We start from the raw sequence: 21,404 nt of genomic DNA on the forward strand, positions 1-21,404 counted from the left end.
CCCCTCTGCTGCCCGAACCCTTTGCCCCAGGCCTTTCCCTATGGTGTCCCCTCCTGGGAGGATCAGCAGGGTCGGTGTTGGCAGAGCCAGTGGCAGAGGAGGTTCCAGGGGCTCAGGGAGGGGAAGAAGCTGGGCGAGGTCGCAGGAGCCTGGGGGTGAAGTCAGGGCAGGGCCGGCCTGCGGGGAGCTGCCGCAACTCCTGGGCTCTGGGCGACATTCCAGCCAGCTCTCCCAGGCTCTCTGCTCGCCTTCCTCCCTGGTAGCTATCTCTGTCTCTCTCCAGGTGGGTCTACATCCCCTTTCAGCAGCCCCATCACCTCCGACGAGGAATACCTGAGCCCCCCAGAGGAGTTCCCAGAGCCTGGGGAGACCTGGCCGCGAACCCCCACCATGAAGCCCAGTCCCAGCCAGAACCGCCGTTCTTCTGACACTGGCTCCAAGGCACCCCCCACCTTCAAGGTCAGACCCCTGAGGCTGGGGCCTAGCCTCCTGTGTGCCCCCGTTCCTTTGGGTGCCCCCTTGTTCTTGGGGCCATGCCTAGGCAACATCAAGACCTGGAACTTTGCTCCCATTCAAACCCTCTTACCCAGAGCCAGTCTCAGCCTGGCTGTGGAAGAGTCCTCCGTCTCAGATTCCACAGCCCCCAGGACCCAAGGCTCTGCCCTGTCTTCCCCTGACACTTTGGGGTACCCCCTTCAGGTCTCACTTATGGACCAGTCAGTAAGAGAAGGCCAAGATGTCATCATGAGCATCCGCGTGCAGGGGGAGCCCAAGCCTGTGGTCTCCTGGTGAGTAGCCGCACTTTCCACCACCCACCAGCGACTCTATGCCAGGCCTGGCTCTGGGAGGTCTGGCTTTGGGTGGAAGGAAATGGAATCTTGGTGGGCTTCCCCATGATCTGCCTCAGGGGCCTCATCTCAGGGACAGCAGTGTACTCCCCCCGGCACCCTGTCCCTTGCCCCATGTTCCAGGCTTATTTAGGGCTTCCCCTTCTGGGGAGGGGTTTGGGTCTCATGTCTGTCCATTTGGGATAAATGACTGGGTGCGGTGGCTCACGCCTGTAATCCCAGCATTTTGAGAGGTGAGGCGAATGGATCACTTGAGGCCAGGAGTTTGAGACCAGCCTGGCCAGCATGGCGAAGCCCTGTCTCTACTAAAAATACAAAAAAATTAGCCAGATGTGGTGGTGCATGCTTGTAATCCCAGCTACTTGGGAGGCTGAGGCAAGAAGATTACTTGACCCTGGGAGGTGGAAGCTGTAGTGAGCTGAGATCACACCATTGCACTCCAGCCTGGGTGACAGAGTGAGACCCTGTCTCAAAAATAAAAATACCCCCTTCCCAAAATTAGCAAGGAGCAAGACATTTCAGAGGCCAAGGAAGGAGGATTGCTTGAGCCAAGGAGTTGAAGACCAGCTTGGGCAACATAGTGAGACTCTGTCTCTACAAAAACTTTTTTTAAATTAGCTGGACGTGGTAGTACATGCCTGTAGACCCAGCTACTTATGAGGGTGAGGAGGAGGATCACTGGAGCCCAGGAGTTTGAGGTTGCAGTGAGCTATGATCATACCACTGCACTCCAGCCTGGACAATATAGCAAGACCCTATTGCTGAAAAAAAAAAGACATGCAACAATTTGTTTCTGAGCTGCCAGCAGCCCCGAGTTAAATGTGGGTCTAAGCAGAGGGGCCTCGCTCATCCCAGGTGCCTGGAAGATGGATTACTCAGCTTGCTAATTTTTTATGGTTTGAATTCTGTTTTTCATTTTTAATTGATTGTCTGGTCCCCACTGTGATTTTTTTTTTTTTTTTTTTTTTTTTTTTTTTTTTTTTTAGCTGGAGTTTCACTCTTTGTCGCCCAGGCTGGAGTGCAGTGGTGCGATCTGGGCTCACTGCAACCTCCGCCTCCTGGGTTCAAGGGATTCTCCTGCCTCAGCCTCCTGAGTAGCTGGGATTACAGGCATGTGCCACCACACCCAGCTAATTTTGTATTTTTTGTAGAGGCAGGGTTTCTGGTCAGGCTGGTCTCGAACTCCTGACCTCAGGTGATCCACCCACCTCGGCCTCCCAAAGTGCTGGGATTACAGGCATGAACCACCGTGCCCAGCCCCCACTGTGATTTTTTTTTTTAACATTGTAAGTTTTTTCATATCCCTTTTGGGAAGTGGGAAAGCTATCTGTCCATTATAAATAAATAAAAATAAGACATGGGGAAGTTTAAGAATTATTAAGAGCTAAATAGGGTCAGGCATGAGGGCTCAATGTCTGTAATCCCAGCACTTTGGGAAGCCAAGAGAGGAGGATCATTTGAGCCCAGAAGTTCAAGACCAGCGTGGACAACATGGTGAAACCCTGTATCTACAAAAAATACAAAAATTAGCTGGGCATGGTGGCGTGTGCCTGTAGTCCCAGCTACTCAGGAGGCTGAGATGGGGAGATCGCTTGAGCCTGGGGAGGTAGAAGCTGCAGTGAGCTGTGATTGTGCCACTGCACTCCAGCCTGGGTGACAGAGGGAAACCCTGTTTAAAAAAAAAAAAAAAAGACAAGAAAAAAGAGCTAAATAGCACGGCTCCACTCTGAATGCAGCAGGGTTCCGAGAAGGGAGAGCTGCAGGCAGTTAGAAGTGACCTGGAAGCTCCTAGAGGTGGGTGGGATGGCAGAGTGGGGGTAAAAACCTAGCCCTGGAAACCAGGGATGCCCACGGTCAGTGGGACAGATCTGGGGACTGGGCAAACTGCACAGGGAAGGAGAGGCCTGCACAGTGCTGCAGCCCCAGTTCCTGTGCACGCACATCAGGCCCCTGGGCCCTGGGACTGAGTTCTTGCCCCTCTGACAGGCTGAGAAACCGCCAGCCCGTGCGCCCAGACCAGCGGCGCTTTGCGGAGGAGGCTGAGGGTGGGCTGTGCCGGCTGCGGATCCTGGCTGCAGAGCGTGGCGATGCTGGTTTCTACACTTGCAAAGCGGTCAATGAGTATGGTGCTCGGCAGTGCGAGGCCCGCTTGGAGGTCCGAGGTGAGTACCTGATTTCTCCATGAATGCCCACCTGGCCCTGGCCCCTTCCTTCCCCCACTGTCTGCTCTCACACAGCCTCAGTTAGAGGATGCCACCACTGAAAGGGCCTTAAGGGGCCCCTAGTCCAGCTGCTTATATTATTGTTGAGTGAACCAAAGCCCAGAGACAGGAAGTGACCTGCCCAAAGCTGCACAGCACATTGTTCCGTGCTCAGCTTACTACACAACACCACCTTCCCTGTTGCTCCATCACGGAGCCCTGGCGGCAGCCAGAGACCCTGCACCTGCCACTGGCCAAGCTCTCTCTACACTCTTCTGAGCCTTTGTCACCCTGCTCTGCCCAGGACCCTCCCTCATCCCCCTCCCCCTCTCCTCTCGCCCCTTTGCCCACCCTCCCATCCCATTGCTGTGCAGAAGCTACTGTGAGGTAGCGGTGGGGAGAGTCTGGTGGCTGGACCCGTTCGGAGGGGCCCTTGGGGTGGCTTAGGCTTGGAGCATCACAGGGACCCTAGGGTGCCAGGGTGAGCACAGCTGTGACGTGTGAAGAGGCCTGGGCCCCCAGAGCCTGGGGCATATGTGCAGGGGCCCTCTCAGGCAGCAGAAATGCCAGGCCCTGGCTAGGGGGCCCTCGAGGGCCATGGGTTTTCCTCCCCAAAGGCCACAACCGTTTATCTTGCCTTCCACCTCACCCTTCGCCTCAATGGCTCCTCGCTTCCTCTCCTCGCTTCTCACTCAGCCCCCAGCCCCTGACCTTCCCCAAGGCTCAGAGCTCAGACCCTGACAGTCATGGTCCCTCTGCTGGCCCCCCTGCCTCAGTTCCCCTCCTCTGTGCCTGCCGTTCCTGTAGTTGCCACTTCCTTGGTCTCCAGATTCTTCAGCCCTCCTCCCCGGCCTGCTTTCTCTCCAGGGCCTGGCTCTGCCTCGCTTCTCTGTATTAACCCATGTCTTGGTGCTTCTTTCTCTTGGGGATTCCTTCCGACACCCCCAGGCTTTGGGGTGCTCCTGATCCCATGAATGCCTGGTTGCCCGGGGTCTCTGCCTGCCCAGGAACCCCGAGGAACCAGTCTCTGGCTAGCTGCCGGCCCTCGCAGCCCAGAGCTGTCCTTGGGGGAGCCAAGAGTGGCAGTGCTGCCCTGACGGTGTGAGAGGCAGCCCTCTATGCAGAAGGGCCCTAGCCAGGTCTGCGTGCCTGTGCGTGCATGTGTGCGTGTGCGTGCGCATGCGTGCGTGTATGTGCATGCATGTGTGTGCATGTGTGTGCGTGTGTGCGTGCGTGTGCATGTGTGCGTATGGGTGTGTGCATGCGTGTGTGTGTGCGCGCGTGTGCGTGCACGTGTGCGTGCATGTGTGCGTGTGCATGCGTGTGTGTGCATGTGTGTGTGTGCGCGTGCGTGCGCGTATGCTGCACTAACCTGCCGCTTGCTGACTGAGGTTTTTGTCTGTACACAGGCGAGTGAGCTCAGGGGGCCACCTGTGCTCCCCCCGCTACCCTCCGAGCCGCGCCCCTGTCTCAGGCACCTCTCGGACCTCGCTGTGTTTCACTGCCTCCTGCCCACAGACCCAGGCCTGCCGGCCCGGACCCGTCCCAGCCTCCCCTCCCCACCCCATGCAGCCCCCAGGGGGATAGCCCATGGGCCCCTGTGGACCCTCCCTCCCCAAGTGGACACATGGCTGTGCAGGCCAGGAGGCCCACAGATGGACTGAGTGCTGGGAAGGGGCGGCTGCGAGGGGTATCAACCCCCCGAGTCTCTCCCTGAAGGGGAGCACCGGGCGAGTGCATGTGCTACTGCTGCTACAGGCCTGTCTATCTGTTTGTCTGTCTGTGTGTCTGTGACAGTCAGGGAAGGATGCCTCGGAGCTGAGGTGGGGTGAGACAGAGTGGGAGAGATTACGGCATGGCATGGAGGGGCCCAAGGAGCAGGGGCTGTTGACAAAGGCCTTACCAGGAAGGGTTAGGACACTGACCATTCTAGAAATGGGTTTCGAATGGCACAACACTTTCTATTTCACAAAAGACCAAAAGCCAGAGGCCCCAGGCTCTGTGCTGATGAACAGCCTGGCTGAGCCCTGGCCCTGGCAGGTTTAGGGCCCATTTGGGGCCCCCTCCTTCTCTGTCAGGGCTGGGGTGCTCTGTCTGGGAATGAGGGAGTTAACCAAGTTTGGTGCAGGAGCAGGGGCAGGGGGCCACTGTAGTGAGCGTGGAGAAATTTGGAAACACCTATTTCTTAACTCAAATAAAGTCCAGTTTGTACCTATCTGGTGTGTTGTGTTTTTTTTTCCCCCGCCGATGTCTCTGCCACCACGTGGCCCTCTCAGTTTCCCCTCCCTCAGTTCCCTCTTGCCTCCATGAATCACCCTCCCTGGCCCAGCTTGGATTGCCATCTCAAAGCCAGGTCTGGGCATGCCTTGCTGTCCTGGCCAGGTGGGTGGGCTTTCCCCATCTCCAGAGAACAAAATGCATCTCTCTCTCTGTGTCTGTCTGTCTCTCTGTGCGTGCGTATGTGTGTCTCCCTCACCCTGTGTGTCTCTGCTCTGTGCGTGGCCCCCGTGGCTGCTTTCCCCTCAGCACACCCTGAAAGCCGGTCCCTGGCCGTGCTGGCCCCCCTGCAGGACGTGGACGTGGGGGCCGGGGAGATGGCGCTGTTTGAGTGCCTGGTGGCGGGGCCCACTGACGTGGAGGTGGATTGGCTGTGCCGTGGCCGCCTGCTGCAGCCTGCACTGCTCAAATGCAAGATGCATTTCGATGGCCGCAAATGCAAGCTGCTACTTACATCTGTACATGAGGACGACAGTGGCGTCTACACCTGCAAGCTCAGCACGGCCAAAGGTAACTCCCCACTCAGGCATTGGGCTGCCGTGGGTGCCCAAGAGCTGGAGGGAGGGGACTGGGGGTGTACAGTAAGATGCCTGGGAAACAGAGCTCCAACCCCGAGGGGAAGCGGGGGAGGGTGGGAGCTAGTACATTGCCTTGGCCTCAATAAAATAAGCACTTAGAATAGTGCATAGCACAAAGGAAAGGCCGCAACAGGGTTAACTGTTCCTAGGAGGGAGTGCATCTGCTGAGGTGAACGTGGGTTCCCACGCCTGCCCTGCAAGTCACCAGCCATATAACTTTGAACAAGTCACTTCATCTCTCTGAGCTTTAGCCTGTTCATCTGTAGAACAGGGATGGTGATCATTCCTCCTCTGTAGAGGGATTGGCAGGATTAATGAGATAGTTTATGTGAAGAACAAAGCACAGGGCCTGTCAAAGGGCCTTTCCAGGAGAGGGTAGGGCACTGAGCATTCCAGAAATGGGTTTCAAATGGCACACCTGCCTAATAAATGCCAGCCATTGTTACCACTGATGCTATCTCTGACCTGGGCCTGCCCACATGGAAGGGCAGAGATTATGGCACCTGCCTTGCTACGTTGTGGGTGATGAAGACCTAAGCGGAAGCTGGAGGGGCTTTAGAAGCAGGAGGGTGCATCGGGTCAACATAAGGGACCCTTATCTCCTCCAGAAGCTTCTTTGAGGGTTGGTAGGTGGGGCCAAGGGGCATCTGCTCTGGGTCTGGGGAAGGTGGCTAGGAGCATGGGCATGACCCCAGCACAGAGGAGAATTCTGAGAAGTAGATGGAGGAGGGGTGGGCTTGGCTTCTAGGACCCTATCAGAGCTGGGCTGTGCTTCATCCAGGGTGGGCAGGGTGAGGGGAGGAGGGGGGAGCTGGGGCCAGGCCCTGGGCTCAGGCCCTGGGCTCCTATGGAGTCCCCAGCCCACCATGGCAGTCTGCACCCACCCTTGCTGACCTCCACCCTCTCGAGGTCTAGTCTCTGGATCTGTGCCCACTTCCTCCCCTGAGTACCCAGAGCCTTTGCTGGGCTCTGCCCAGGCTCCAGCTTCCTGCTCAGCCTTAGGTCAGGAGTGGTGGGTTGGGATGCCTGGGCCTCCTTAGCCTTCCCTATCTCTGAGCTGCCCCCTGCCCCACAGATGAGCTGACCTGCAGTGCCCGGCTGACCGTGCGGCCCTCGTTGGCACCCCTGTTCACACGGCTGCTGGAAGATGTGGAGGTGTTGGAGGGCCGAGCTGCCCGTTTCGACTGCAAGATCAGTGGCACCCCGCCCCCTGTTGTTACCTGGACTCATTTTGGTACGGCCCCTGTGCTGCAGGTGTTGAGGGCCCCCCCAAGGGCCCAGGCGGCGATGGGGTGCACCCAGAGGGCAGGGCCCCTCACTGTGCCTGCTCTGCATTCCCACCCCTCCTTTCTGCAGGCTGCCCCATGGAGGAGAGTGAGAACTTGCGGCTGCGGCAGGACGGGGGTCTGCACTCACTGCACATTGCCCATGTGGGCAGCGAGGACGAGGGGCTCTATGCGGTCAGTGCTGTTAACACCCATGGCCAGGCCCACTGCTCAGCCCAGCTGTATGTAGAAGAGCCCCGGACAGCCGCCTCAGGCCCCAGGTACCACCGGGGCCCCAAATGATGCTGGGGCTGCCTGTGAGGGGCCAGCCCAGCCCTGGGGTGGGAGGCACGGCCCTGGGCCTGTGGGCAGCTGTGTGGTCTTGCAGCTCGAAGCTGGAGAAGATGCCATCCATTCCCGAGGAGCCAGAGCAGGGTGAGCTGGAGCGGCTGTCCATTCCTGACTTCCTGCGGCCACTGCAGGACCTGGAGGTGGGACTGGCCAAGGAGGCCATGCTAGAGTGCCAGGTGACCGGCCTGCCCTACCCCACCATCAGCTGGTTCCACAATGGCCACCGCATCCAGAGCAGCGACGACCGGCGCATGACACAGTGTACGTGTCTGGGAAGTTCCCCGGGAGTGTCCCCTGCAGCACCCACTTGGCTTGCAATGCCCTGCCCCTCTCCCCAGCTCTCCCCAGGCCTTTCCTCTGTAGCCTGACCAGGGACAGGGTGCCTGGGGGAAGGGAACCCGGAGGGACTGTGAGGTCATTGCCTCCCCTGCAAGCCCACACAGCACTCATCTGCTGAGTCACCCCTCAGTGCCCGTTAGCACTGACTGGGCAGGCAGTACTGCCTGCTACTAACCCGCATCGGGCCCATGAGCAAGTTACAGAAGCCCTCTGTGCCTCAGTTTCTCATCTGTAATTGGGTTGTTACGAGACTAAATCAGTTAATGCATATAAGCCCCAGAGCAGGGCCTGGCACCTGGCAAGCAGCTGGGAGGTGTGAAGTCTCAGTATTCTTGTTTTAGTAGCCATTATCATCAGCGGTGGTACTTCCTGGAGACATTGCAATGAAAAAGCAGGTGTGGGCAGTGTCTGGCATGGAAGGGATGCTCTGTCCAGGGTTGCTAACAAATAGCAAATAACGAAGAAGGGGCCAGGGGAGACACAGAGGAACGTATTTGGGTTGGTGTCCTCTTAGCCTGGGATACTTTCTTATGGGAGCATCTCAGTTCCATCCTTGAAGGAATCTGAGTCTTGTGTGAGAAGGTCTGCCCCCCTCCCATAAGACAGTGCCCACTCTTTGACCCACGATGATTTCCTCTTATGGCTGCAACATGACAAAGATCACTTTCATTAAGTGCTTTCTAAGTGCCAGGTCCTGAGAGCTAAAGGTATGACAAGGACCATCTTACCTTGCCACAGGCCTATAAGGCGGATACTATTAGCCCCATTTACAGATGGGGAAACTGAGGCTTAGAGAGATACAGGAAGCTGCCAAGAGGCAAGAAAGGACTGTCTGACCCTGGTGCCCAGCTCTTAACCAGGATGTCCCTGTCACCCATGCTGCATCCTCCCTGCCCACCCGCCTGCCCATCTCCAGTGATGCCACCCCGGCTCCAACCCCTGCCCACAGCCTCCCATGACTGTCATTCTCAGCAGCAGGCCTCCCTGTCTCCCAGTCTGCTCTGAGGCCCTGGGTGAGTGTCTGTCTCAGGATCTAAGCTGGCGTCTCCGCTTCTGCCTGTATCTGGGGTCACTGGCAGCCCTTGGCTTCTCTTCTCTTATAAATAGTGTCAGCAGAGATAAATGAATGGGTGACTGTTCTATGCAGAGATAACTGCAAAGAGAAGGGAAGGGTGTCTAGGGACAGCCCTGACATGAAGGAGGACAGTGCAGGCCTCCTCTCTGTGTCTTCGCCAGAGACAGCCTCCTTATCATCCAGGGAGCAGGGAGTAGGGAAAGAGCTTTGGAATCACATGGTACCAAGGTCAAACTATCATTTATTAGCCGTGGGACCTTGAACAAGTCAATATCTCTGACCTCATTGGTAAAATGGGGATAATTTTGTAGAGTTGTTGCAAGGATTCACGAGGGGGAAAGCATGTCAGGTACCTGGTATAGGCTGGGCACAGAGCAGGCAACTCTTGTAATATATCATAGAATGTATTTGGTACTTACTGTGTGTGAGGTTCTGGGTCTGGTGGGACAAGCAGATCTGACAACGTCAGCCCTCTCTTTAAGGAGCTTGCAGACCAGGTCAGGAGCTATGACTGATGCAAGAGGAAGAGCCCCCGCCCATGAAAAGCAGCGTGGGCCAGTGCCCATCGATGTGCAGGCGAGAGGGTTGGGGTCCTGGGAGGAGTCAGAGGATGAGGGGTAGAGAGCGGGCCAGGGGCAGGGGGGCTTCATGGGCTGTACCCACTTAAACTATGTCTTGAAGGACAAGGAAGCCTTAGGTAAGAGGAGAGCATTCCCCAAGGGAGGAATGTTGTGAGCAATGACCTGCAGATGGAACTCGGTGTCTCGTTCAGGGGCCTGATAGTTAGCCAGCATCAAGATGCAGAGGAGCAACAGAGACGTGGCTGGCAGGGAGTTTGGGTTGAGGGCTTTGCTGTCCTCCTGGAGGGCTTCCCTGCAGCTGTGCTGGAGACAGAATGGCAGTGGCCTTGGGGATGGAGAAGAAGGGCTTAGGGGAGGGGCCTTGGGAACAAAGCTTTGTTCGAGTTTTGACATAGAGGTTGTGACCATGCAGAGGTGGGAAGACGAGGGGCCAGTCAACAGAGGCAGGGACCCCAGAGGGTGGCCCAGTGTAGGAGGAAGAGAAGATGATAAGTTGCCTGGCCTGACACACTGGAGGGACAGACCAGAGGGGCCAGGGCAGATGTAGACTTGGAAGCCAGCCCGGGCCCAGACCCAGACTTTGCTGCACCATGGATGCACTTCTTGCTGCCTGCCCCATCCTTGCCCCATCCTTGCCCACTCGCCTCCTCCCTGCAGTGGATGGGGGTGAGGGACCAGGCCCGGGATGGCATGGGCCTACCCCTCAAGGTATCCTCCGGGCTCAGGCCCAGTGTCACTGTCCCTCCCCTCCCAGACAGGGATGTCCATCGCTTGGTGTTCCCTGCCGTGGGGCCTCAGCACGCCGGTGTCTACAAGAGCGTCATTGCCAACAAGCTGGGCAAAGCTGCCTGCTATGCCCACCTGTATGTCACAGGTGAGGCAGGCACCCTCGTGGTCAGCTGCACGCACAGCCTGGCCTCTGGCACTACGTGGGGGCTCAGGGAAAGGGGCCTCCACCCAGCTCCCTTCCCCTCCATCCCCTGGGGACCCTCTTGCCTTGCCCCTGCCCCTGCGGCTGAGCCCCCAGGCCCTAGCCTCCTGCCCTGAGGCTCGGTGATCCTGTGGGGCTGTTGGGCCCTTGGACCCAGCAGACATTCGAACTGCGGCTTTCAGATGTGGTCCCAGGCCCTCCAGATGGCGCCCCGCAGGTGGTGGCTGTGACGGGGAGGATGGTCACACTCACATGGAACCCCCCCAGGAGTCTGGACATGGCCATCGGTGGGTCAGGGCTGCACAGGGCCATGGGTGGGGAAGGGGTGTGGAGAAGGCAGGCTCAGGCAGGACACCATGGGGGCCAGGCCCCAGAAGCGGATGGGCAGGGGCAGGAGCTGATGGAATGCTGGTGGGACCAGCTTTGCCCGTCTTCTCTCCACGTTGCATGGGGCTCTTGCTCTGGGTGAGGAGAGGAGGCACGGGGCACTGCCACATTCCCTTCCCATCCTCAGAGTGGGTGCCTGGGTCAGGACTTGCAAATGCCCTCTCCTCGTCTTGTCCAGGATCTCCTCCCGCTCTGCCTCAGTTTCCCTACCTCAGGTATCAAGGAATTAGAGTTCAATTCCAGCCCCATCTGTGCCTGTACTGGTACCTTGTTGGCTCTTAACCTCCCAGGGAAGTGGCTGGGCAAGAGCAGATGGGGGGACAGGCAGGAAGCAACAGCAGAGACTGAGGCACGTCATCAGAGCAGACTAATGATGAGTTCCAGGGTCCCGGGCCAGCTGGATGGGGAGGGGTTACTGCTCCTGCAACAGCAGCCTCTAGTAGCTCCTCTCCCGCCAGACCCGGACTCCCTGACGTACACAGTGCAGCACCAGGTGCTGGGCTCGGACCAGTGGACGGCACTGGTCACAGGCCTGCGGGAGCCAGGGTGGGCAGCCACAGGGCTGCGTAAGGGGGTCCAGCACATCTTCCGGGTCCTCAGCACCACTGTCAAGAGCAGCAGCAAGCCCTCACCCCCTTCTGAGCCTGTGCAGCTGCTGGAGCACGGTGAGCCTGGGTGCTCCTGTCGGGTGGGGGTGGGAGCTGCTGGGATGGGGAATGGGGGCCCTGTGGTGGAGGCTCAAGGGATGGCCTGGACATGGTAACTGGCAGGAGCAGCCTAGCCGGGCGGGACCTTGGCCCATCTGTACACTTCCTTCTCCCTCCTGAAAGCAGCAGGGCACGGTGGCTGAAGCTCAGGCTTTGGGATCGGGCCTGCTGGGGTCCAACCCCACAACCTCAGCTTTGCTGCTCTCTGGCTGTGTTCCCCTGACAAATCGCTAAACCTCTCTGAGCTTCAGCTTTCCCATCTGTAAAAACGGAACTCAAGTGTTGATGAGGGGTGTTAGAGGAGTGGTGGGTGCTGAGGACCTGATGTCAAGCCCAGCACAGAGCCTGCGCTCTCCTCCTCCCAGGCCCAACCCTGGAGGAGGCCCCTGCCATGCTGGACAAACCAGACATCGTGTATGTGGTGGAGGGACAGCCTGCCAGCGTCACCGTCACATTCAACCATGTGGAGGCCCAGGTCGTCTGGAGGAGGTGGGCCCCTTTCCCACATGTGGCAGCCCAGGTCTGGCCCAGCCTGGCCGGAATGCCCTGGGGCAAGATCTGGGTGACCTCCCTGTCATGTGTCCCCTAGCTGCCGAGGGGCCCTCCTAGAGGCACGGGCCGGTGTGTACGAGCTGAGCCAGCCAGATGATGACCAGTACTGTCTTCGGATCTGCCGGGTGAGCCGCCGGGACATGGGGGCCCTCACCTGCACCGCCCGAAACCGTCACGGCACACAGACCTGCTCGGTCACATTGGAGCTGGCAGGTGGGTGACAGCGGGCCTTCTTCCTAGCCTCCCTCCAAGGCCCAAAGCTCTCTACTCACACCCCCAGGTACACAACCTGCCTGACACTGCTGCAGATCCAAACCCATGTCCTCTGGTCAGGCCTGTCCATGTCATGGCTATACAAATACCATATTAGTAATAATGACAACAATCATACTAACAAGATTTATTGGCCAGACGCGGTGGCTCACACCTGTAATCTCAGCACTTTGGGAGGCCGACACAGGTGGATTACCTGAGGTCAGGAGTTCGTGACCAGCCTCGCCAACATGGTGAAACCCCATCTCTACTAAAAATACAAAAATTAGCTGGGTGTGGCGGCAGGTGCCTGTAGTCCCAGCTACTTGGGAGGCTGAGGCAGGAGAATCACTTGAACCTGGGAGGCAGAGGTTGCAGTGAGCCGAGATTGCTCCATTGCACGCTAGCCTGGGCAACAAGAGCAAAACTCTGTCTCAAAAAAAAAAAAAAAAAAAGATGTATTGAGCCTAGTATGTGCCAGTCTCAGTACTAAGCACTTTACATGTATTGCCTCATTTAATGTTTACATCAGCCTTGTGAGTTGGGGTTGGTTATTATCCCCATTTTACAGATGAGGAGACTGAGGCCGAGGCTAAGAGTAACTGGCCCAAGTTCACAGAACCTAATAAGTACAGGAGCTGGGTTCAAGTGTGGCTGCCTGACTCCTAGCTCCTGTGTTAAACATAATAGGAAATAGTATCTCAGATATAACAAACATGGGAAGACCAAGTTGGTTTTTAAAGAAACCCATGGGCACATCTTATCACCGAACTGCCAGCCCTGAGAATCCTGGCCGCCCTTCGGCACAAGCCTGTTTGACAGAGCCTCCCAATGTTTGCAGCAGCAAGGATTCTTTTTTTTTTTTTTTTTTTTGAGACAGTCATCTCACTCTGTCACCCACACCATCTCGGCTCACTGCAACCTCCACCTCCCAGGTTCGAGTGATTCTTGTGCCTCAGGCTGCCAAGTAGCTGGGACTACAGGCTTGCACAACCACGCCCAGCAAATTTTTTGTATTTTTTAGTAGAGATGGGGTTTTGCTATGTTGGCCAGGCTGGTCTGGAACTCCTGGCCTCAAGTAATCCGTCCACCTCGGCTTCCCAAAGTGCTGAGATTATAGATGTGAGCCACCGCCTCGGGCCTTAGGATTCTTTTTATAATTTTTCCTTTAAAGATGTAGTTTCTCAAACTAGTTACTACCTAATGCATTAGGTAGTAACTGTTTGGTTTTCTAATTTGTTAATTAACTCTAGACATATGTAACCGCCACTCAGAACTCCTGATCAACATGGGCTAAACAGGGTTACCTGCTGAGTAAATACAATTCCAACCAAAAGCAAAGAAAGTGACATTTTACTTAGCACAGGCAATCTTATCATGGGTAAATGGACATTTTCTGGTGCTTTCAAAAAACCATTGAAGCTCACTTGAAACTTTCCGGTGCTTTGACCTTCATAGACTGCCCCCACCACCTCCCAGCCCATGGGGGACAGGATTCCTAGAGGCGAGGGGAGGCGTCTGTGAAGTGGAAGATAAGTGGCAATAGGGTGTGTAACAAAGAGACAGGGAACGCTTCTGGCCGTGCTGTGAAGATGGTGGGGGTGCTGGGCGCTCTTTTAAGTGTCTCCCTCCTTGCCTGCCCTGTCCCTAGCACTCTCCACTCAGTCACCACTTTACTCCTTGACAGTCCATCTTCAGGACTCACCTTTCTTCCCAGATATAGGAGGAGCCCTGAAGTTTGGGGAGCCCCTGGCCCTGAGAGCCCTGCAGCACAGCCTAGCTGGAACAGTGACCGATGGAGCCCCATTTGAGCCCAGCCAGTCAGGGCTCTGATGGGGCTGGGGCTTGCACTGACACCCCTATTCCACTAGACCCCACCCAGCCACACCCAGACAGGGCAAGTGGAGTGGTGGCCCCCCTTCCTCCACGTCAACCTCACTGCAGTGTCTTCCCCACCCCCGGGATGGCCTCCCCCGTTGTCTGTGTGCCTGTGAAGGGTGGGGGTCCACACCCGGCCGCCCTGCCTTCCCAAGTGCCTGACTCATCCTACTTCTCCTCAGTCTGAGATGCTCAAACACGCTGGGGTGGGGGGTGGGGGCTGGCGGGGGACACCTGGAAGTCACAGGCTCCTTTGCAAAGCACATTGCAATGTGTATTTAATTCCATCATGAGAATTAGAAGCTGCTTTACCAGGAAATCATATGACCATGTGATATGTATGGAGAATGAAATCACAACCACATGTGGGAGATACTGAGAGTCCATTTCTAGATGGTTTGGTTAGTATTTGGGGGTTGTTTGTTCATCTTGCCATCTCCCAGATGCTATTAATAGAAGCCCCTCTAAACATTTTTCAAAGATTCAGTGAAAAAACTTCAAGGTAGAGGCAATGCCATCCATGAGCTTAATTCAGGGTCACAGGCTGAGCCACCTGCAGGGGCCAAGTTCAGGTAGTCAGAAGCCAGCGGGTGGCCCTGTGAAGAAGGGCGGCCACCCACAGGGGGCAGCATTGGGCCACTCCTCTCCCGCGGATTCATGCAGCGAGGGGAGCGACTCAGGATGGCCAGTCCTGATTTTTCAAGAGAGGCAGGAAATCCAGATTTCTTTTGTGTGTGAAAATCTCCTAATTTCAAAGCTGCCAAATTAATACAGAAGGTCAAACAAAGCAAGCCTGCACCTTGTGCCAGGTTTCCTCAGATTTGGAGAACATCACGTTTGGATTTACGGGGCGGGGCGGGGCTTGGTCCAGGCAGGGAACTCTGTTGTCCCAGTTGGTGGGGGTGGGGGGTGGTGGCTTGCAGGGAGGCGGGGGTCTAGCGTTCTGACTGAGCCAGTCACTGATGGGGGATCTTGGGAGGGGCTGAGGAGGCAGGGTAAAGCCAGCCCCTAGCCCCTTCTCTTCCCACCCCTATCCCCATGTGTTTCAGAGGCCCCTCGGTTTGAGTCCATCATGGAGGACGTGGAGGTGGGGGCTGGGGAAACTGCTCGCTTTGCGGTGGTGGTCGAGGGAAAACCACTGCCGGACATCATGTGGTACAAGGTCAGAGTGTGCTGCTGGCTGAGCCTGGGGGAGGGAGGAGGGGCTCCCTGGGGGCGTGGGAGGGTCCTGGAAGGCCTTAGGAGGGCGGAGCCCGGGCAGAGGCGTGGTTAGGAGGAGGAAAGGGGCTGCAGAGGACTGACTAGCTGAGGGGTGCAGGGCTTTCTGTGGGAGATAAGGGAGGAGCTGACTCTGGGTCCTGGTGAGAGATGCGCTGCCCAGAGTAGGAGATGAGGCCCTGGCCCCAAGGTAGAGATGAGGCCAGGCCCAGGCTGAAGGTGAGACCCCACTCTGCAGGACGAGGTGCTGCTGACCGAGAGCAGCCATGTGAGCTTCGTGTACGAGGAGAATGAGTGCTCCCTGGTGGTGCTCAGCACGGGGGCCCAGGATGGAGGCGTCTACACCTGCACCGCCCAGAACCTGGCGGGTGAGGTCTCCTGCAAAGCAGAGTTGGCTGTGCATTCAGGTAGGCAGGAGTTCCGGAGAAAGGTAAAGCGCACACCCCCTGGAATCTGATGTGACCCTCCATGCTCTGCCCAGGAAGCAGCCAGCCCTGGACTCGAGCCACCACACCCCCAGCCCAGCACCCCGCCTTGAGCCCCCAACATTCTTGCACCTCTTCTCTCTTCTTCTTCTGTCCACCTGTCCCAGTCTCTGGCCTGCTTGCTTTCTTCCCCTCCCACCTAACACCATGACATCTCTGCCCCAGCTCAGACAGCTATGGAGGTCGAGGGGGTCGGGGAGGATGAGGACCATCGAGGAAGGAGACTCAGCGACTTTTATGACATCCACCAGGAGATCGGCAGGTGTGGGGCTAGGAGGGAAGCCAGTGGGGGCCGAGAGAGGCTGCTGGGTCTGAGGGTTGGGAGGGGTGGAGAGGGCCACAGTGATGGCTGATCTCTGACCCCCTCCCTGTGTCAACCAGGGGTGCTTTCTCCTACTTGCGGCGCATAGTGGAGCGTAGCTCCGGCCTGGAGTTTGCGGCCAAGTTCATCCCCAGCCAGGCCAAGCCAAAGGCATCAGCGCGTCGGGAGGCCCGGCTGCTGGCCAGGCTCCAGCACGACTGTGTCCTCTACTTCCATGAGGCCTTCGAGAGGCGCCGGGGACTGGTCATTGTCACCGAGCTGTATCCTGGGACAGGCTGGGGGCTAGGGGGATCCATGCCTAAATGACTGGTCCTTGTAACATCCAATAGGCAACATGTTTTACAGTTTACAAAGTAGTCCCAATTGACAATTGGGAGGGATACATCTGGAGACTTCTATGAAAACCAACAGTTTTAAGCCCATTGTTAGCTTAAATTTTCATAGCATTTAATGTGTGTGCCTGGCAGTGTTCTAAGAGTTTTACAAATATTAACCTATTTAATCCCATATATTCCTATCTCCTGGAATTTTATTATTAACTTGTATTATCCCCATTTTACAGATGAAGAGACAGGCATGGAGAGGTTAAATAACTTGCCCAAGGTCACAGAGCTAGCACATGGCCTATGCTTTTCATCATGAAATGCAGTACAATGCATCTGCATATTTGTAGTGACCCCATTTCAGATCAATACTTGGCTTTATTTAGAGGCTGTTTTCATAAGGAACAGATTTTACCCTTTCATGAAGGCTGTGGTTAAGCAAAGGCACATTGAGGTAAGGATGCTGGGTGATTGGCTCATCACCCCAGTAGCAGGGTGACCGTAACCTGCACATGAGCCTCCTGCCTGCACTGTTTGAATTCAAACCTCAGCAAAATGACAAATTATTCCATGTCATGGATCTTCTAGGTCATTCTCAAATAGAGTCAAGAAGTTCCATCCACAGTCAACAAAATTCTGCTGTAATTTGATCCCTATAAATGCTTTACAGGGTGGGCAGGAAAGGAAATGTTATTCCCATATTACTCCTGGGAGAACCTAGGCTCAGAGAAGTGAAGTGACTTGTCTGAGATCCCATAGAAAGTGGGAGTTCAAGCAGGGATGACCCACCTGTGCCCTCAGAGGACAGGAGGTGGGGAGGGGGTACACGTGGAGGAGCGGAGAGGCAGTCTCTGGCTAGTATCAAGCATTCTGTAAGGGGAAGGAGAACCCCGTGCTGAGCTGGGACCTGCCCTGAGCGCTGGGCTGGGCCGGGCAGTTGGCACTGGGCACTGTTCTCCTTGATCTGGGATGTAGCTGCACAGAGGAGCTGCTGGAGCGAATCGCCAGGAAACCCACCGTGTGTGAGTCTGAGGTGAGGGCAGTGGGTGGCAGGGGCCAGGTTGGGCACCAGCCTTCACCCACCTGAGCTTTGAGAACCAACAAATGGGTCCTGAGTGTGCCATCTGTGCCCACAGGAAGCCAGGGGTGGAGGTGGAGAGCACTGTTAGGTAGGCAGCAGAGTCCCCACCCAATGATACCAGACCCCCATCTATCTGAGACTTGTGCTATTCTCTCTAAATCTCAGCAAACCCACCCCAGCTCCTAACTGTTGTTTCCCACTCTTCATCACATAAACATCCCCCAAACATTTCTCCTGGAAGGAGCCCCACCTAGATTTTATTGATCTCACTGCAGTCCTGCCACGTCAGGCTGTACATGTTGTGCACTGCACAATTCTACTTATTACCACGCAATGGCTCCTCCCTATAATTGTGCTGTACCCTCCGGTGCATATGGTAGCCTTGGATCTTTGCAACCCCAAACCTGTTTCAGCCCCTTCCACGAGCCATCTGAAGGCTACTCCACAGGCACAGCCGGACCGCTTGCCGCCCTGGAGGTGTTCAGACATACACCACCCTTCCCCCTCAGACTCTGGGCCCACTATTTCCACAGATCCGGGCCTATATGCGGCAGGTGCTAGAGGGAATACACTACCTGCACCAGAGCCACGTGCTGCACCTCGATGTCAAGGTGAGGTGGGGACTGGAGAGCAGACAGCCCCTGTGGGAGCCAGGAGGTGAAGCATCCTTCCTTGTTCATTTGGCCCGCACACCTCGCCTTGTGTCTTCCAGCCTGAGAACCTGCTGGTGTGGGATGGTGCTGCGGGCGAGCAGCAGGTGCGGATCTGTGACTTTGGGAATGCCCAGGAGCTGACTCCAGGAGAGCCCCAGTACTGCCAGTATGGCACACCTGAGTTTGTAGCACCCGAGATTGTCAATCAGAGCCCCGTGTCTGGAGTCACTGACATCTGGTAAGGCTGGCATGCTGGGCTGGGCCGACCAGGGCAGCTGCCCTTGGGGCTGTGCTGGGGACGCGCTCACTGGCAGGGAGATTTACCGAGCCTGAATTCCTCCTGAAGGTGGGCTGGAGGCATTGTTTGCAGGGTCTCCTGCCCATGTTACTCCTTGCCCCTTGTGAGTCAGGGCTGCCCCATTCTCTCAAGGCCTCAGCCCTGTTAGTCCTTGACTCCTTGTCTCCCCTGGAAGCCGGGCCTTCCCCTCAGCATTCAGCCTGCCTCCTCCAGTAAGGCAGGCATGGTCCCATTGGTTCCCAGGCTTCCCTGGGCTTCCTGGGCCAGCCCTGCCATGACCCTGGACTTCTCCAGGCATATCTGGACCTGTAGGTTCAGGGTCCTCCCTGAAGAAGCCACTCCTGTGCCCATTGTCCATGGCAGTGTTCCCAGGGAGGTAACAGCTCACTCAGGTCAGCAGTAGCAAAGAACTGCTCCCTTCCAGTCAGAGAGGGGCGGTCCTCTTACCTATCACTCTCCTTTTCCCACAGGCCTGTGGGTGTTGTTGCCTTCCTCTGGTAAGGACCCCTCTGCAATGTCCCAGCAGTCTCCTGGCAGGTCTACCCCTAACCTTTGCAGGGCTGCAGCCCACCCCCTTCTCTTCCGCACCCCCCACTCCTTCTTGCACTGCAAGGAGCCTCATGTGCATGAAGGTGGACACCCCTGTCTGCATGCCCACACTCTGCCTGTCCCCACACCCCTCCATAAGAGGTGGGCACCCTAGATGGAGAGAGCCCAGCGCAGGCTCAGGGCCATGGAGGCAGGGAACTCCTTGGCTCTGAGTGTCCAAAACTTGGACTAGATGGGAGTGGAGCTCAGGGTGGGCACATCCCCTTGGCACAGACTCTTCACTCATGGAGAGGCCACACTGGAGGAGGGATGGAACAGGTCCTCTAAAGCACAGGCCACTAGGCCCCAAGGCAGCACCACCTCCCTGCCCATCAGGGGGGCTGGGGAGGGGACAGGGCAGGAGAGAGTCCGCAGCCTCACCTCTTACCCACATTTGCCCAGCCTCTGTCATCCTCACAACCCCAGAGCCTCCATCTGTCCCCAGCCCTGTGCCCCCACTGACATTCCCCTTTGTCCCCGCCTGCCCCTCATGACAGCCCTCTTCACCCCTGCAGTCTGACAGGAATCTCCCCGTTTGTTGGGGAAAATGACCGGACAACATTGATGAACATCCGAAACTACAACGTGGCCTTCGAGGAGACCACATTCCTGAGCCTGAGCAGGGAGGCCCGGGGCTTCCTCATCAAAGTGTTGGTGCAGGACCGGCTGTGAGTACAAGGCCCTGGGAGCCCCCACCTGCAGGGTCACCCTCATACCACCTGCCTGCTACTCCCAAACTCCTGCCCCTCGACATGCAAGCCCCCAACTCCTTAGGAGCCCTGTTTGCTCAGTTATTGACTCACTGATGACTGAACGATAAATCCCTTCTTAATCCTCATTCATTCACAGGAGACCTACCGCAGAAGAGACCCTAGAACATCCTTGGTTCAAAGTGAGTCTAGTCTGCAAAGTGGTGGCACAAAAGGTGGAGGGAGAGAGAATGTTACTAACAGCTCTATTTATTGAGTACCTACTGTGTGCAGTAACCACGTTAGGCATTGTATGTACATATGACGTATTAGCCTCACAATAGCTTTGCAAAGGAAGGCATTATTAGTCCCATTTTGTTGACAAGGAAACAGGCTCTAATCAGTGATGGAGTTGGGGGTATACATACTGGACTCCAGGGCATACGTCTGGACCTCTCCATCCTGGGCGTCCTCAGTGGAGTTCTCCCCCATGCTTGAGACCAGACCCTGGTCTTCCTGACTTCTGTCTGTCCATCTCTGTCCTGCACTGGTCCCACACAATAGCGTTGGGGGTGACCAGGCAGTCTCAGCCCCTTGGTTATGAGCTTCATGTGAGCAGGTTCTCGGTTCTCACTCATTCATCTTCAAACCCCAGTGCCTCAGGGCACAGTGCCAGGCATTGATGGGGTCTTGGGGATTTGGGAGGGGGGGTTCAGCAAATGAGTCTGGAAAGAGCGCCTGAATAAACTGTTCATGGAGGGTTGTGCCAGGTCACTTGAAGGCTGAGGTCATTCGGGTATCAGGAGTTGAATTAAGAGCCTTCTTTCTCAGACCGGAAATGAGCTCCAGAAGAGAGAGCCTGGGTGGGTAGCTGAGGGAAGCATCCGTCTTGGTCTGGACCACCAAGGCTCCAGATGTCTGGGGTGTTGGCCCTACATGGAGACAGAGGGGAGCTGGGGAGCCAGGACCCGGGTAAAGGGCCTAAGATCACAGGCCTCCCAGGGCAGCTGGTTTACCAGGACAGGGCCATGAGCCCTGGTGGAAGCTCAGAAGCCTACCTAGGGGAGCCACCAGTTTCCTGCCTCTCCCCTGGGGGGTTCAGGGGATTTGTCTTTAGGTGTGCATCTTGGCTGTAGGCATTGTCCTGACAGACCCAGGGGGAAGGGGACCCCCAGGAGCCCAGACTCAGTGCTGCTCGATCCACTCTCTCCTGCCACCCCGCCCCATGGACTTTGTCTCTCTGTTGCCAAACCTGGAGGGTCTAGGTTGACAGCTTTCCCTCAAGCCCTCTTTCCTGGGTTTGCAGACTCAGGCAAAGGGCGCAGAGGTGAGCACGGATCACCTGAAGCTATTCCTCTCCCGGCGGAGGTGGCAGGTAAGTGTGGCAGGCCAGCCTCTGTGCTTTCCACCTTCTCCTTTTCTCTAGCACTGCCTTCCCCCTCCCGTGGGCCTTCATCTCCTGCTCCTGTCTTCTCGCTTTCACTGGCTCCATGCCTAGCTTCCTGCCTGTTCCCTGACCCTCTGC

At 56.6% G+C, this 21,404-nt stretch overlaps 1 protein-coding gene and 1 long non-coding RNA gene across 44 annotated transcripts in view, besides 6 other annotated features; one reads left to right on the top strand and one right to left on the bottom strand.

Annotated features, from left to right (window-relative positions):
- Window positions 1–21,404, top strand: part of SPEG (striated muscle enriched protein kinase) — a 58,787-nt gene that overhangs the window by 26,756 nt on the left and 10,627 nt on the right. For 22 of the 43 annotated variants that reach the window (NM_001438924.1, XM_024452526.2, XM_047442902.1 and 19 more), the window contains 4 exons: window positions 284–459; window positions 700–788; window positions 2,835–3,010; window positions 4,459–5,264. In NM_001438924.1, the coding sequence (NP_001425853.1) occupies window positions 284–459; window positions 700–788; window positions 2,835–3,010; window positions 4,459–4,466 (449 nt within the window). In that variant the 3' untranslated portion in view covers window positions 4,467–5,264. Of the gene's footprint in view, window positions 1–283; window positions 460–699; window positions 789–2,834; window positions 3,011–4,458; window positions 5,265–5,575; window positions 5,837–6,979; window positions 7,139–7,260; window positions 7,451–7,557; window positions 7,782–10,269; window positions 10,390–10,628; window positions 10,734–11,291; window positions 11,499–11,905; window positions 12,030–12,129; window positions 12,306–15,271; window positions 15,385–15,678; window positions 15,848–16,090; window positions 16,188–16,306; window positions 16,508–17,545; window positions 17,604–18,184; window positions 18,263–18,363; window positions 18,543–19,072; window positions 19,100–19,705; window positions 19,859–20,039; window positions 20,083–21,185; window positions 21,255–21,404 lie in introns of those variants that run through there. The other 21 variants (XM_047442891.1, XM_011510479.3, XM_047442893.1 and 18 more) reach the window with 3 other exon arrangements.
- Window positions 3,541–4,208: an enhancer, noted in NCBI's record as "H3K27ac-H3K4me1 hESC enhancer chr2:220329861-220330528 (GRCh37/hg19 assembly coordinates)". NCBI's record gives its function as "activates a minimal SCP1, AML or CMV promoter by ChIP-STARR-seq in primed H9 embryonic stem cells {active_cell/tissue: H9 hESC(primed)}" and the evidence as "EXISTENCE:reporter gene assay evidence [ECO:0000049][PMID:30033119]".
- Window positions 4,209–4,874: an enhancer, noted in NCBI's record as "H3K27ac-H3K4me1 hESC enhancer chr2:220330529-220331194 (GRCh37/hg19 assembly coordinates)". NCBI's record gives its function as "activates a minimal SCP1, AML or CMV promoter by ChIP-STARR-seq in primed H9 embryonic stem cells {active_cell/tissue: H9 hESC(primed)}" and the evidence as "EXISTENCE:reporter gene assay evidence [ECO:0000049][PMID:30033119]".
- Window positions 5,122–5,664: an enhancer, noted in NCBI's record as "H3K4me1 hESC enhancer chr2:220331442-220331984 (GRCh37/hg19 assembly coordinates)". NCBI's record gives its function as "activates a minimal SCP1, AML or CMV promoter by ChIP-STARR-seq in primed H9 embryonic stem cells {active_cell/tissue: H9 hESC(primed)}" and the evidence as "EXISTENCE:reporter gene assay evidence [ECO:0000049][PMID:30033119]".
- Window positions 13,652–14,359: an enhancer, noted in NCBI's record as "H3K4me1 hESC enhancer chr2:220339972-220340679 (GRCh37/hg19 assembly coordinates)". NCBI's record gives its function as "activates a minimal SCP1, AML or CMV promoter by ChIP-STARR-seq in primed H9 embryonic stem cells {active_cell/tissue: H9 hESC(primed)}" and the evidence as "EXISTENCE:reporter gene assay evidence [ECO:0000049][PMID:30033119]".
- Window positions 14,689–14,983: a silencer, noted in NCBI's record as "tiled region #8597; K562 Repressive DNase unmatched - State 8:EnhW". NCBI's record gives its function as "represses a minimal TATA promoter and a strong SV40 promoter by Sharpr-MPRA in K562 cells {active_cell/tissue: K562}" and the evidence as "EXISTENCE:reporter gene assay evidence [ECO:0000049][PMID:27701403]".
- Window positions 15,067–15,774: an enhancer, noted in NCBI's record as "H3K4me1 hESC enhancer chr2:220341387-220342094 (GRCh37/hg19 assembly coordinates)". NCBI's record gives its function as "activates a minimal SCP1, AML or CMV promoter by ChIP-STARR-seq in primed H9 embryonic stem cells {active_cell/tissue: H9 hESC(primed)}" and the evidence as "EXISTENCE:reporter gene assay evidence [ECO:0000049][PMID:30033119]".
- The window catches only part of ASIC4-AS1 (ASIC4 antisense RNA 1), a 35,355-nt gene continuing 34,084 nt past the window's right edge, over window positions 20,134–21,404 (bottom strand). The window contains exon 2 of the long non-coding RNA XR_923921.2: window positions 20,134–20,811. This is a non-coding gene — a long non-coding RNA (ASIC4 antisense RNA 1). The remainder of the gene's footprint in view (window positions 20,812–21,404) is intronic.

Source organism: Homo sapiens, chromosome 2 (genome assembly GCF_000001405.40).
Source record: "Homo sapiens chromosome 2, GRCh38.p14 Primary Assembly".
Lineage (NCBI taxonomy): Eukaryota > Metazoa > Chordata > Mammalia > Primates > Hominidae > Homo > Homo sapiens.